This window comes from Homo sapiens, chromosome 18, assembly GCF_000001405.40.
Source record: "Homo sapiens chromosome 18, GRCh38.p14 Primary Assembly".
Lineage (NCBI taxonomy): Eukaryota > Metazoa > Chordata > Mammalia > Primates > Hominidae > Homo > Homo sapiens.
Window position 1 is genome coordinate 36,371,503 of NC_000018.10, and position 15,784 is coordinate 36,387,286.

Consider the following 15,784-nt stretch of genomic DNA (forward strand, 5'->3'; position numbering starts at 1 on the left):
CCCTGTGATTCAGTTACCTCCCATGACTTTTGGGGATTATGGGAGCTACAATTCAAGATGATATTTGGGTGGAGACACAACCAAATCATATCAGAATCAACAAACCATTGTTTAAACCATACTTCTGTCTCTTACCTGGTCAGATGAATAAAAAATGTAATTGATGTAGTCATTACTGTGAATTCATAATCACAGTATTAGTAGCGTGCCTTGGTGAGATCTCTGTTCCCTTCTCTCCAACACAACCACACACCAGGAGGCAGGAAAGCACTGCCAGATTCTGTTATACATTAAGCCCTGGTGGAGAGAGGTGAGGATGGACAGGGAATCCCGCTTCCAAGAGCCCTGCCACACTACCTGCTGCCATGCTGTTGGCTGGCTCTGCTTTTCCTTTGTCCACTGCCTTCCCCTTTTCTCCAAACCTCAAAGCCTTTGTTCCTGTTGGGTAGCCAGGACTCATGTTTTCTCCCCTTTATCTCCTTCTACCAACTGCTCCGTGCTTTGGTTCCTCTCTGCATAAAGCAGAATGGGCCCTAGTGGGAGTGGAACCTGGGGAGGTCTGCCCTTTTCCTTCCTCATGAGAAATGCAGTGAGAAGGAAGCAGAGGTGAGATGTGGTGTGGTGTAAATTGACGTTTCTGATAATAAGTAGTCTGTAAGCCTTCTTTTGTAGATTCCCATTTTCCTGTAAAAGTACAAGAGAAAAGCCAACACAGTCTTGAATTGATACACAGTAAAGCAGTTCTGATTACCCCATGATGTGTTCCCTTTTCCTATATCTGCCCCCAACCCCACAAAAAGGTAAAAATAGCCATGAGAATGATGAAGCAGATTTGTGTTGTTACATTCCAGGAATTTCACTTCATGGACACAGATTTTAAAATTTTCCCAACATGGTCAAGCATGACTTTGTGCAGACTCTGTGGATGGAATGAATCGATGGAGCTTGGCAGTGAGATGCATGTGCCAAACCAACAAAGTCAGACTTCTTTATTTTATTTTTGTGAAAGTCCTGTGATGTCAACATTATTTCAGGATAGATTCTTATTCAGTGTGGGTCTCTGCTTCTCTGGATCCCCACTTAAGTGGGTATGTCAGAACCTTCACGTGGATTGACAGCATGTGAGGTGTCTCTGCTGACTCCTCTGATGCCCCTGTTTTGTCTCCTGTCTCGTTAGGCGGGGCAAGAAGCACAGCATCATCCTAAGGACGCAGCTGTCTGTGAGGGTCCATGCCTGCATCGGTGAGTGACACCTGCCCTCAGGAACTAAACATATGATGAAAGACGCGACTTATGGGAATAAAATAAAGATTCACTGTTATGCTGTCTGTTTGCACTAGCCCCTATCATGAGTTCTTAGAGTTTTAGTGAAACAATTTCCAGCAATGATTTTTGAAGGCCTGTTTCATTCCAGCTTCCTCTGCTGTTTGGTTAGTGACTGGAGCGTGAGGTAAGACAGCTTGCTGGTGAGGTGCCTTTTGGCAGTGCTGGGGTAGATGAGGTTCTTCTGGGGACTGTGCCATTGTGAGCCTCTAGCACATTGACCTGATCTTCACGTGCCTCCTGGTGGCTCTGTGAGGCATGCCTGTGGGCAAGTGGAGTCTGGGGCTCCAGGTTGTTATCAGGTGACTAAAAGGAAAATCTTGGGTCAGTGCAGGATGAGGGTACGTGTGGATACAGGGCAAGATGCTCTTAAGCAAGCAAACATATTTGTGGTTCAGAATGGCTTGCTGCGGGAAGCCCAGTTTCCTCCTGGTAATGGGCCAAGTTGCGGCAAGAATATAATGTCATAAGAAGGAAAAAAAAGGAACTAAATTTCACTTTATGCCTAGAAGTTTTTAGTATCTGAGTAATTTTGCTTTTGTTTAATGTATGGTGTGGTCTTCATTTAATCCTCTAATCAAAAGAGCGTAGATCATCCTGTTGAGTCCTAGTCTATACCCGAAAACATATTCATGGGTGGAGTGAAGGAAATTATTTCTGGTCCTTCCTTCACTCTGCTTCCCTATTGGAGACCCAGGGATGGGGAGACCCAGGGCTGGAGATGGAGGGAAATCCATGTGATTTCACTTCATTTGGTGTGGAGGGTGGTGAGGTTGCAAGTGTCTTGAGTAACAACCTTTGCCTCACTCTGCAGCTAAAGAATAATTGTTCAGGTGACTCAAACTTCAGGGACTGAAAGGTCAGGGTGTCAGGAGGATTGGTAATCTTGTTGGAAACAAAGTAAGATCTGTAGGACCTCCAGCCAATATTGACTATTCTGCTTCTCAACTGCTTGTAGCACTGAGTAACTGTACAATGTATATGGGCACTTATATTAAATCGTGGCTTTTTTATTACCTGCTTCGTGTTTTCCCAGTGATTTCATATGTATAAATCATGTCTCTCTAAAGGAAAGGTCTGTGACACGACTTTGGATAAACTTCCCCCTTACCCTCATCCCAGATCTAGAACAAATCCAGGCACGTAACATGTACTGAACAGTGTTGAAGTTAAATGTTGAAACACAGTTGATAACTACAAGAAATTTGGGACATGAATATGAATTGTTTTTTCCCAGGAATAGTAAGGTGGCAGAAAGCAGACTTGCATGAAAATGAGCTCAATCCAAATCCAAATGAGCTAACTCCTTTTAAGGAAACTCACTCCTTTGCAGTATGTAGTCAAATATTTCAGGTACAGGATTTTTTAAAAACAACTTCTGTGTTATTGACTTGTCTTATGAACTTCTGTATCCTATCGTCCCATGTGATAGATGTAAGATGTGTGACATCTTATCCTGTGGCATGCTGAGCACCGACAGCCTCTGAAGCCCACACTCAACCAGGACACACATGCTCCCTGCTCTTGGGGTTGACCTGGGGTTTATGGAGTCAGTGTGCTTGCTCACAAACCTCTTTATGCCAATTGCACTGGTTATCAGAATTATGTAATTTAATGAAATAGTACCAAATATTTCATAAACTAATTAAATATGACTACATAAAGGTCACTGCTTCTTTGAAAGTTCACTATTTTGGAAAAGACTCAAAATTAGTCACTACAGAAGCATTTCTGTCAATGTAAATGTGTTATGATAACTATAAAAGGCGAGGGGGAATATTATAAAATCTAAGAGGATTCTACTCTTCATAAGCATCTTCAGCTCCGCTGGACTTCAAAGAAACTAGACTGGAAATCAGACCTTGTTATTGGAGTGAGTTGTAAAAGAAAGTCTACATGGAATTCCAATGGGTAGATCCTTATTCAGAGAACTATTTGTGCCTCATCACAGGTAGACCGGCATGTTTTGCCACAATAGCTGCGAGTTCAAAATGTTGTAAGGTCTTGTTTATGTTTATGTATTTTTTTATGTATTGTTTTCAAAAGGATTTTCTGCTTTAATCAGCTTTTACCATTAATTGCCTTAGGCCTGATTATGTCAGATGAGAGGATTTGGCCGTATAAACTAACAGCAACACCTAAAAAAGGAAAAGTTTTTCCTTTGTATTAAAAGCCTTTTTTAAAATTCCATTTCCTACTATTAGCAAGATCTGGAATAGGTTTATTAGCACTAAATATTATACTTTGGTTATGTATAGAAAATGGAATGTGTGCAATCATGTTGATGAAGTACCTTCCCCTATTGTGACATATTCTTTCCCTTTCCAAATGGCAGTGTTAGATGAGATTTCTTATGGATAAAGAAAACAATACCCGGAACAATTTTGAGTCAAAATGACAATCGGAAATATGACAAGGAGAAAATAAACCTTTTTCACATCTGTTGTTTTAGTCTTTGTTTCTTCTCAAGGTTATTTCCCTCTTTACCACAGAAGAAATAGTTGAAATATTAATGCTACAGGCTTGGGGCACAGTGGCTGCTGTCTCAGCCTCGCACCACATGCAACTCCCCTGAAGACGTTCCTTCCACCCACGATTGGACTGGAAGGATCCAGGACCAGGGTTTGTCTCCTGGGCTTAAAATGCTATCAAGTAAATGTCTCAAAAATAATGCTTTCCTCACCCTACATTCTCTTCTCCTTCATTCCTGTTTTTATTAAGTAGAGGAATGTTTAGAATCCAGGACTGCATGTTAATGAGTTGGAGGTGAGGTGCTTTTGGAATTCTCCAGTGTTAACTTTGGAATCCAGCACCCTTTGGGATGAGAGTGTGGTGGGTGAGCCTTTATGGTTAGCAGCCCAGCAACCCTCACGAAAAATGAAGGCCACAGGGGCTCTGCTTCGATGGTTACAGCTAGCAGCTGAAGCAGGTCTTTTCTGGTAGTGTAGTGGCTCTGAAGCATTTGGCCGGAGGTTGGAATGAGATTTTGGTATAGAGAGAGGCCTCAAACTTTTGTACCTCTGTGCTTTATCTCCACTGTAATTTTTATTTCTTTGTACATTTTTGGTATGACCACTTGATATTGCAGCGAACGCTGCACTTGCCTTCTTAATCTAGCTTCGATCTTTTCAAAGAAATGAAAATTTTGATGGTCATATCGTGGGCATACACTTACAGATAAGAATTAAGACGTATGATAGACATGAGAAGTCTGCATTTTATGAGGTTAGCTAGAGAAAATAAATTTTTTGGTCCCTGAAAAGTGATCCTGTTTCCAGACACCAGAAAAATGTTCAGAGGGCCAACTGGCTCTGATAACTAAATCTCATCATGAAGAGAAAGGAACTAAAGAATTGTGGGGTAAGGAATGGAATCTAGGACTTAAAAAAATAAGGTTTGAAGTCGTTAAGACCCTAAAGTTAATATGTGAGTGTTTTTTACTGGCTGGCTTTGAAGGCATTTTGTTGGGCTAAAAACCCCTGGGCTTCAATTTTCTGAAGCAGATTTTGTCTTCCCATTTAGAAAGTAAAACCCTGGCGATTGATTCTCTGGGTTCCAGGAGGCCTGTCCTTTCAAGTGTCCAATATTGAGTTAAACAAAAGTGTAAAATTTGGGTGAAGATTCCAAAATATCATTTATGCTTGCAGCTGTGAAAGAATCCTGGCACAAAGGGCCTTTAGAGGCATTTCAGAATCCTATGAGATGATGAGGTCTGCTTGTGAGGGACAGAGATGAGTCAGGCAGAGGCTGTCAAGGGGGCTGAAGCAACTGATCTCTGCATAAGATGCATCTAATTACTCAGATGGTCAAGTCACAGGGACAAAGGCAACTTTTAAAGGCAAGAAAATGATATGAGAGAAGGCCACTCCATTAATGCCAGTTTCCAGCAACAGAAACATCAACAGCAAAAGCCATCAATGTATAATTTGCAAGGCATTTTTCTCTTGCAGGCCCTATCATGCAGCCGTGTGCTTTGCACTACATTGTTATAGCAAAGAGATGAATTATAAACAGTGCAACATTTCCTCAAGAAGAACCTCCTAGTGCAAGAGTAACAAAGGGGATTCATCTCACAGCCAGCCGATTTAGGAGCATTGGCTCCCTGGGGCGCTGTGTTGAGCAAGGTCCTGAGGCTGTGTGCAGTCTTAATGGGAAAGGATCCTGCATCGGTACCCTCTTACACTGGTGGTGATGGAGGTGGTGTACATATGTGTGCCATGAGGTGGCAGCTCAGGTGAGGTGCAGGTTTTGTCCAGTGCTTGAGCCTCCTGTAGCTACAGTATAGGGGTCCCTGGGCTTCTGTATTCGAAGGGTGGGGAATGGCACTGTAATTCATGACCCCCAACCACTGTCCCCTCTCCTTTCTTCCCAGACCCTTTCCAGGTTCTGCCCTTCTTCTTCAGCCTGTGAATCTGAGCATGACTTCTCTCCCACTTCACTGTGTTTTCTGACCAGACCGAGTACCACCTTCCTCCACCTCTGGGTGTCTTTCCCTCTAATCAATTTGAGCTGGTTTCTCATGGCTGAGCCCTCCTGGCTTGCAGGGAGGCCCCCCTCTAGCTTCCTTTTCTGACATTTCACTTGCCCCTAGGGTGGCCTTTGGAAAATTAGCTGGATTCCCATGTGGTCCTTACTGCTTCTTGGCTCTGTGTCAGTTTGGAATTTCCATAAAAACTAGAGGTTTCCTATGGGAAGCAGCAAATTGTCTTTTTGACACTCTTGTTCTGACAGCACCTGAGTGCTGTTTCTGTGCTAGCTAGTAAAGATGAGGCCCATGGAGCACTGTGTGCTGAGAGACATGAGGCCTGAATGGTGATGCGTGTGTGCTCGGGCACCTGGCCCCTCTGGGTGCTTGCTGTAGGATCCACACAGATGCAGCTGGCCCTCTGTGGTCTACTCCATGGCAGACTCCCCACACGTCCACTGTATGCTGCAGAAAGGGAGCTGGCTGCTCCCTGACTGGGAGACACCCCCATCCCATCCCCTGGCCATCTGTTCCCCTCTTAGCCCACCTGCCCTGCTTTCATTGACTCCAGGCCCTGGACCTGGGCTTCTGGCTGGCTCTGTCCTGCATTCCACAAGAAGCTGCTTCTGCTCCTGTCCTGCCTCTACCATGCAGCTTAGATTTGGAGCTGCAGGTGGTACACCCTCTTTGCCCTGTCCCTGGACATCATGGTGGCTAAGCTCACAGTGTCCTTGCTGTGCTCCTCCCTGGTGGCATCAGGTGCATTGAGTCATCACACTTCCTATTTTCTGTTCTTTGATGCCAGGATCCTCTGATTCTCCAGAAGCCCTGGAAACCATCTCTCATTCTTCCAAAGATGTTCATCTTGTTGCAAAGGCTCCTGAGTGGCCAACTGCAGCCTCAGCATGAGATGGGTTTGACACTGAGTCTCCCCTTGCAGCAGGAGACTCCCAGTGCTTGGTCCTTTAAAAATAAAAATAAAAAACCTCCTCTCCTTTATACCCCAAGTCTGTGACCTGTTTCTGCCTGTGGTTCTGTTTTCTAGGTAAGAATGAGCTCTGTGGGTTAATCAGATAAGAACCTCACATCATCTGTTTCCCATTAATCTGTCACAGCTCCCAGGAGACAGATCCCAAGGCGTGCATGTGTCTAGAAGGCCCTTAGGTCTCGGCTGAGGGAGATTTCTTAGGCAGGTCAGCCTGTCAGCCTCTGCACTCTGTGTGGGTAGCTGCCTCTAAGGGGCCTTCCATCAGACTGGAATTGACAGGTGTGTCCAACCCCTGTCCCCCCTGGACCCCTCTGCCACAAAAAAAAAAAAAAAAAAAGAGAGATGGGAAGGATGTAAAACATACTTTAAGGTTTATTAACATACATGAGAGTGTAGTTTTTGTTTGTTTGTTTTTGTTTTGAGACAAAGTTTTGCTCTTGTTGCCCATGCTGGAGTGCAGTGGCGTGATCTCAGCTCACTGCAACCTCCGCTTTCCCGGGTTCAAGTGATTCTCCTGCCTCAGCCTCCTGAGTAGCTGGAACTACAGGCATGCACCACCATGCCCAGCTATTTTTTTTGTATTTTTAGTAAAGACAGGGTTTCACCATGTTGGCCAGGCTGGTCTTGAATTCCTGACCTCAGGCGATCTGCCCACCTCGGTCTCCCAAAGTGCTGGGATTACAGGCATGAGCCACCGTGTCTGGCCAAGTCTAGTCCTTAAATGCTGGGAACCATTCAGTTCTGTCACACGTCTTTCCACACGTTATATTCATATGATATATAACTCGGGATTGATTTCTCACCATAATGGAAAGAGCAACTAAAGAATGAATTTAAAGAGTGGCTTTACCATCTACAGACATGCGGATAAACAGAAATACAGAGGATGAATAAAGAGGAGACACACACTTGTGAGAGAGAGGTAGCGTGGAACCTTCTGGATAGGGCTGGAAGCTCAGGTCAGCTCTGGGAATTATGAAGCACCAAGAGAGGGAAAATGGACAGGAACAATGTGAATTGAATCACAGGAAAGAAAGCAGATATCTCAGGGTCTCTTACGACAGCTTCATTTCATATTTGTATTTGGCCTTTTCCCCATTTTACTTTAATTAAATTATTTATTGCTTCTTTAGGACTTGGTTACCTTTCATCTCTAGGGATCTCGAGGTGTTGGATAATGGAATTTGGAGCCATTATCAGTGTGTTTACTCTTCAATGTCCATGTAATTGTTTATATCCTGGTTGGTCACTTAACAAGGAACATGAAAATCTGGCAAACAAAACTGATAATGGAGAATGAAGTCCCATTGATAGGGATGCCTGTAGCATGTGTTACCAGATAAGTTTAAATCACGTGCTGGCAGTTAGACTCCTAAGTTCCTATCCAGCAAAACATCAGTTATATGCAGAAAACAACTTCTGATAGGGAAACCACCCTGGTTTTGACTAGAGTGTCTGCATAAATACTTTCCTTTCACAAGTCTGGCCTGCTTCTGGGGTGTGATGTGAGCTCTAGTGACCAGCTCTGAGTGCCTTTGGCTGTCCCCATGAAGAGACAACTTTATTTTTGGCACTGGACAATCAAAATTTATGTCAGGAAACAAAATGCTTTGTCTTATTTATAGAAATTTTGGTATCCAGAGGGTGTGGGAGTTGAAAAGGAGGATGGATGGTTCAAAAATGTCTTGCTGAAGAAAGTTCTTTGAGGAGTGGGTGCATGTCAATGTATTTTTCACATCTCAACATTTCTGTTGTATTAGAAATACCTAATGGGAAGCATTTTAACTCAGAAAAAAAACATATAGAAAGCATTCATAATTCAGCGAAACTGCTACCAGTTCAAGATTTATTTTAAAGGAGGAAAGAAAGGCATTGGAGAATTGTTACAAGTGCTGTCATCTCAAGCCCATATACTGGAGTAATAGCAACAGAATAAGAAGAAAAGTTAAAAGGTTCTGCTCATTATTTTAGGATAATTGAAAAAAAGGAAACAGATTCTATTAATTGTTCACAGAAGTAACATGACTTATCTGTAATCCCAGTAACTGGATTATGGGCATGTGGGCAGGAAGAGGCACTATCTTGCTAGGATGTAGAGAGATCATTGGGGCAAGGGATAGAGCCACGTTACTGGTCAATACTTCGGTCATCTCCCTTCCTCCCTCCCTCCCTCCCTCACTCCCTTCCTCCCTTCATTCCCCTCCCTCCCTTCCCTCTCTTCCCTCCCTGCCTCCTTTCCTCTCTCCCTTTTTCCCTTTCTCTCTCTTTCTTTTGTTTTCTTTTCTTTTCTTTTCTTTTCTTTTCCTTTCCTTTCCTTTCCTTTCCTTTCCTTTCCTTTCCTTTCCTTTCCTTTCCTTTCCTTTCTCTGTATCTCTTTCTTTCTTTTCAGAGTCAATGGTCAGTTTAATAACACTCTTAAATTTAGATAATGTATTTACGAGTACTTCAAAAGTTGTAAAATGCTACAAAGGTTATTAGTTTGAGATAAACTCTACAAGAAAGCTAAAAAAGAAATCCTGTCTACCTCAGCCATTAAAAAAAGTCACATGAGCCCCATTCACTGACTGACACATTTGCAGCTTGGTTCTTTCCCACCTACAGGTTCAAGAGCCCTTGCCACCCCTCCTGAGCCACAGCAGGGGCTTAGAAAGGGGGTCCACCAATGGCAAGGCATTTCCTCATGGCCACGGGGCTGGGATGCCATGGGACTAGGGCTGGAGTCTTTCGATTCCCTGGCCAGGTTCTTTGCACTGGCCTGATGCTCCTCCTTTTAGGCCATTGAAATCATCTTTAGCCCTTCTCTACAGATACAATTGCCGAGACCGAGGCAGCCCTTCTGGTTTGAGAAGTCTGGGAAGTGCTGCCAAAACATCTAAATAAATGTCTTTAGAAACATTTGCCTAAGTGAAGTTTCAGCAGGCTTCAAAGGATGGTGTTCCGGCTGAGTTCCAGTGTGGTTCACAGATTGTCTTAGAGGAAAGTAAGTCAGCTGAGAAAAATGGACTTCACCCTTAAAGAGCTGACTATGTTTGGGAATGCAGCTGAAATTCCTTCTGAGCCAGGCTGCAGATGCCTAGGAGATGGAGCTGGGGCTTCCACATCCTTTCCATGCTTCCACTCTGATCACTTGGACACTGGTCTCTTGTTCTGGTTTTACGTTGGGAAGTCCCTGGAAATGGGGTCTGTCACCTGATCAGAACTGCACTCTGTCCCTGCTGGCTGTAGTAGCTGCCCGAGAGGAGGATGAGGGTGCCAGGCAGAGGCTGCGAGTCCCTGTTCTGGGTTTGGTTCCTTGGTCCTGGTCTGAGCTCTGTGAGGTCTGGATTCTGTGCAGGATGGCAACTTGCTCTTGAGCACGTGAAGGTGTAGATCCTATTGTGCCAGATGCAGTATACTGTCTCACCCTCAGAAGGAGACCCCAAATTATTTGTTGTTAAAGAAAGAAGCTAAAAGGGTCAAGGTACTGACAGTGTTTCTTAGATTTGATTTGTTTACTTCAGAAATGGATTCCTTTGCCCTGTTCTCAGGAAGAAGAATACAAGGCAGTAGCTCTAAGTACCATGTGCTAACAGATGACGCCATGGTATCACCTCAAAGGAGTGGGAAGAATGTGAGAGTAAATAGAGAGTTAAAAAACTGTGGCAGTGAGTAGACTGTCATTTTCAGGAGCATGTCAAGGAAGGCTCTGGGAGGTGTTATGTGACCCTGGAATCACACTGTGCATGTTCGTGGCCTGTGCACATGCCGGGCAGGGCTCCATGGTGCCAGCCATCGCAGTGGGGCCCAGGTCTCCGGGAGGTTGGAGGTGAGATGGTGGTGGTTTGAGATAGCGACCTGATGCAAGACTGCTCCATGGAACAGCTTTTGTGGCCTTTGCATTGCAGTGTGTGCTTCACATCTTTTGGGGAATGGGGTGGGATGCTGTCGTCCCCAAATGTAACAAGTTGATGGCAGACTTTGATGAGCGAATGAAGAAGAGGTGGGTTCTTCATTAGGGATGGGCTGTGGCTCTTCCTGTCACTGCCCACCAGAGCACTTCTGTTCCCGGAACAAAGCTGGGTCTGGCTGCGTTTTTTCGAGGCCCAATAACGAGAAGCAGACAAAATAGGGAAGAAGGGAATTTATTGCTGTAACCGGATACAGGGAGAAGGCTGGAGATAATTCCACCAGACCAATTCAAAGTGTTACAATTTTCTTAGTCCTTTGTGTAGGTTGGGGTTATGTGCTCATGCTCAGTATAGCATTTGCCTAAGTCTACTGGTAACTAATTTTGTTTCAACTAGAAGGTCAGAGGCAAAAAATGCTTGCTAAGTCTGATTAAAAGGGCTCCAGTACCCTCAAGGCCTGTCTACTGTGGAACTGGAGTGATTGTTTCTATCTTATCTCCTTTACAGCTTGGTCTGGAGAGCTGTCTCAGACTTTCCAATGAATCTATTCAAACAGCTGCCTCTGTTACCTTGACTTGTCTCAGATTCTGTCAACCCGAGACGGGTCCTGTCTAGGAATGTAAGACTGTCTCTATATTTTGACTTGCTCCAGGTTAGGGAGAAGCCTATACAAGGCTCCTACTGACCATATGTTTCATTTCTAGCTTTGATGTTTGGGCACCGATTTCCCTAGGTTTGACTGTTTGCTCAATGTCAAGGCAGTGCTGTGGAAATCTGTCTGTGTAACTGGAGTGCTATGCTGCCCTGTCTGTGTGACTGTCATGCAGGTCTGTCTGTGTGTGTGATTGTCAGGGAGACTTGGTCTGCCACACTTCCACGGGGAGTGCCCTGTCTGATTATTAACAGGGTGGGTGACCTGTGCAGGCGGCTGTTTCCACACTGTTCTGGGATAGCGTTGGCCAGCCCTTCCAGCCCTGCTGTGTTCTGTTCTTGGGCAGGCTTCCTCCTGGGTAGGTGACTTGTGTGGCCTGGGATGTCACCTAGGAATGGATGGATGGAAGGGGCGAGGGAATTTTGGTCTGAGGATTCTGTCTGAAAGCAGAGTTGGTGCTGTCCTGAATCACAGTGCTCTCATAATGTGGACATCTGAGGCTGGAGGAGTTCTCAGGGTGCTGTGCTGCGGCTGAGTTATGTTCAGGCCCCACTGGCTACTGTTATTGAGCACCTGCTATGAGAAAGGTGCTTAACAGAGGTGATTCCATTTATCGTCCTGACACATACATTATCCTTACTTTACAGGAGGAGAAAACTAGATTCAAATAGGGTTGGGAGCTTGCCCAGGGACACAGAGCTAAACAGCAGAGCTCAGATTAACGTCCCCATCTGTCTAATTGTTAAATGGAAAAGTTCTGTTTTATTATGATGGGCAATGTACTTTTAAAAATAGTTTCTTTTTATAAAAGCAGAAAGGGAAATTTCTACTAACCACTTAATGCTTATACTTCCTACCAGGCACTGGGCAAAGCACTCGACAAGTGTATCTCCTTTAATCCAAACAGTAACCTATGAATCAGAATTACTGTTCCCACTTAATAGAGGAGAAAACTGAGGCACGCAGTGGTCTAATCACTTGGCCAAGGTCCCATGAGGAGCATATGACTGAGTTGAGATTTGCACCCATATCTGTTTGCCTGACTGCAGGGTGTTGTGTTCAACCTCTGTGCTCTGGTACCTCCAATAACACTAGCTGCTCTGGAGCACTTACTGTGCTCCAGGTATCTGAACCCTTGATGCTATAGCACAGGTCTGGGCTGATGAGAGAACTCAGGCTCTAGAATCAGACCTGCCCCTGAGAAGCAGTGTGACCTTGGAAAAGTGACCTCACTGCTCTGACTTCAGTGTCCTCATTTATCAAAAGGGGATGATAATATCGCCTTTAAAAATTGTGAGGATTAGGCCGAGTGTGGTGGCTCACACCTGTAACCCCAGCACTTTGGGAGGTCAGGAGATCAAGACCATCCTGGCTAACATGGTGAAAACCCATCTCTACTAAAAATAGAAAAAATTAGCCGGGCGTGGTGGTGGGCGCCTGTAGTCCTAGCTACTTGGGAGGCTGAGGCAGGAGAATGGTGTGAACCCAGGAGGCGGAGATTCCAGTGAGCTGAGATCGCACTACTAAACTCCAGCCTGGGCGACAGAGTGAGACTCTGTCTCAAAAAAACAAAAAAACAAACACAAAAAACACCTCACACAAAATTAGTGGAGCATGGTGGTAGATGCCTATAATCCCAGCTACTTGGGAGGCCAAAGAAAGAGAATCACTTGAACCAGGAGGCAGAGGTTGCAGTGAGTTGATATCATGCCATTGCACTCCAGCCTAGGCAACAAGAGCAAAACTGCATCTCAAAAAAAAAAAAAAAGGATTAAAGAAATATTTCATTGGTGTTAGATCCAATTTTTAAAAATAAAGTCATATATTGAGTATTGATTTGTGTGCTCAAACAATGGGCAGAATAAGCCAATATGTGTTTTAGAATCAGACAAACTGGGTTCAAATCCTAGACCTGCCTCTGTGTGTCCACGAGAAAGTTACTCACCCCTTGGAGACCTGTTTGTTATTTATAACAGTGAGAACGGGGGACCTAGTGCCTCCCTCCTGGTGATGATGCAAATGGTCAAGGAGATAGTGAGTGTGCAGGTCCAGGCTAAGCCCTTGGCAAGTGGTGGAAGATACCACCACCACCACCACCACCACCACCACAAAGTTTTGTGTTTTGTTGCCTTACAAACCATTAGAACACCATCAAAATTTGATTGTCCAGTTCCTCTAAAGGAATGTGACTTTAGAGTGTCTGATCTATTTGTAGAGTCAGAGCTGATCTGGACTGAAATGTATATCTTGCCTCCAATTCTTGAAGGAGCCCATCTTCCATAACCAGAACTGGATCACAGAATTGTATTAACTATTAAACTGGGGAAATACATTGTGGAACTCTTAAATATGAAAACCAAGTAACGCCCAATTAATGTGTTTAAAATGTGTTTTAGCTACTATCCTTTTTTAAGCAGCCGACAGATTTGAAACTAGGTCAATAAATTTCTATTAAAATTTTACTTGTTCTTACAAAATGGAGTTGGCCAACCTAAGACCTGAGGGTGATCCTGATCCCACAATTCCTGCTTAGCTGCTGGCATTGGTGTTGTTTTTATGGTTCTCTTCAATTATCCTGTTTTGTTTTGTTTTTTCTTGAGACAGAGTCTTGCTCTGTTGCCCAGGCTGAAGTGTGGTGGTGAGATCTCGGTTCACTGTAACCTCCACCTCCCAGGTTCAAGTGATTCTCCTGACTCAGCCTTGTGAGTGGCTGGGATTATAGGCGCCCACCACCATGCCTGGCTAATTTTCATATTTTTCGTAGAGACAGGGTTTCACCATATTGACCAGGCTAGACTGGTCTCAAACTCCTGGCCTCAGGTGATCCGCCTGCCTTGCCTCCCAAAGTGCTGGGATTACAGGCGTGAGCCACTGGGCCTGGCCTCCAGTTATCGTGTTTTTGATACATTTTAGAATGTTGCAGTTTTGGCAAGCACTGAACAGTCAGCATGTTTACTGAAAAGCTCTCATCTTCATGGAAATGAAGTAGGTTTTGTGACCATGAAGGCAACTTCCCACCATCTTGGTGTGTTCCTGGATTGTGTTCTCCTGATGGAAGGGGCTGTTGGCATGGAGGAGGAAGCTCCTGAGTGCACATGACCAGGCAGTCAAACGCATGAAAAGGAATTAAAACACCACAACATGACACCAAGTGCTTAGTTATATCTATAATAACTTTAAAGTTGAAACGTTATGCTCTAAGCATTATAAAAAGTAGTCCAAATATTCTGTATGAGTTGATATTCACAAAATGTCCAAATTAATAAGCTATTCAAATTGCACCAAAAATACAATCTGTATGTTTGTCTTTCCAACAAGAAACATGCTAGTGATGGCAAACTTTCACTATACATATGGCAATACATTTCTCAGATGACCCAGTATCTGGACAGCTTTTTATGACTTGTTTGGCCTGGGGTACCTTAGAAGCTGTCCGTCCTCTGCCTCATCTCCCTGCATTGATGGGTGGCTCAGGGCATCCTGGGTACATGGGCATGGGTGCTGGGGTTGGCAAGGGTGATGTGGGTGGCCAGGGGTGGGCTGACCGGGCACTCCTCTTTACCAGGTAGCGGCTCAGGGGCCTCAGAGGCTGCTGGGAAGAAATAAAGTGCCACGTATCACTTAGCAGAAAGCCGTAAAAACAACGAGCAATTTCCGTGCCCGTTAGAGACACTGAAAGGAGCCCCATGGAGCTGTCTTGGCTTGGAATTGCCCAGGCCAGTGTGAGTCACCTGTGTGTGCTGTGGCTTGTCTTGGAAGACAGTGGAATCTTGAAGAGTGGGATCAGTGAGGGTGTGTGCATTGAGATGGTGCACAAATTGCCTGGAACAGCCCATGCCAGGCTCCTGGAGGGCAGCACTGCTGTGGTGGAGATACTCAGAGGGCAGCTGGGCTGCAAGTTCTAGGTGTGGCCCTGCCTCCCCTCGGCTGTCCCCAGGGTTTGAGGTTCAGTCCTTTCTGGGGTCTTACTTGAGGCCTGGCCTTCATCAGGACTCATAGGGCCTCCAGGCTGTGGGGTCTAGCTTGGGGGGATTGGAGAAGGTGGGGTTCTGAGTGCAGCACCCCATTCATGGGCCAGGCAAGAGACGACTGACCTGGGCCTTGTGGGTAGAACTTCTGATGTCACCTCCAAATGATGTTGTGTACCTAGAATCTAAGATTAAATATTCAAAATATAGAAGTTCTTAAGGCAGCCTTCCTTTGGAATATCTATTTTTCTTTCTTAAACAAATGGCTTAGGAGCCAAAAATACCCTCCCCACCCCAAAAAAGGCAAGTGCCCTGGACTGTGTCCTGGGTGAGGTTTTGCTCAGTCAGGGGCCCAGACTGTGGGCAGAAGGTGTTGGTTCCCCCTCAGGGGTGTCCTGCTTGAGGGGAGATGGTGGGTTAGGGAGAAGCAGCATTCTAATTCTGGAGCTAGCATCATCAGGTTGCTAGATTTGGGACATGACACTTTTGTCAAAAATGGGG

General features: G+C 44.9%; 1 protein-coding gene across 41 annotated transcripts in view; it reads left to right on the forward strand.

Moving 5' to 3' along the window:
* The window catches only part of FHOD3 (formin homology 2 domain containing 3), a 482,508-nt gene that overhangs the window by 73,790 nt on the left and 392,934 nt on the right, over nt 1–15,784 (forward strand). For 40 of the 41 annotated variants that reach the window (XM_011526189.2, XM_011526190.3, XM_017026008.2 and 37 more), the window contains exon 3: nt 1,178–1,242. The exons of the other annotated variant lie outside the window; for it this stretch is intronic. In XM_011526189.2, coding sequence (XP_011524491.1) covers nt 1,178–1,242 — 65 coding nt within the window. The remainder of the gene's footprint in view (nt 1–1,177; nt 1,243–15,784) is intronic. 41 annotated transcript variants of the gene reach the window in all.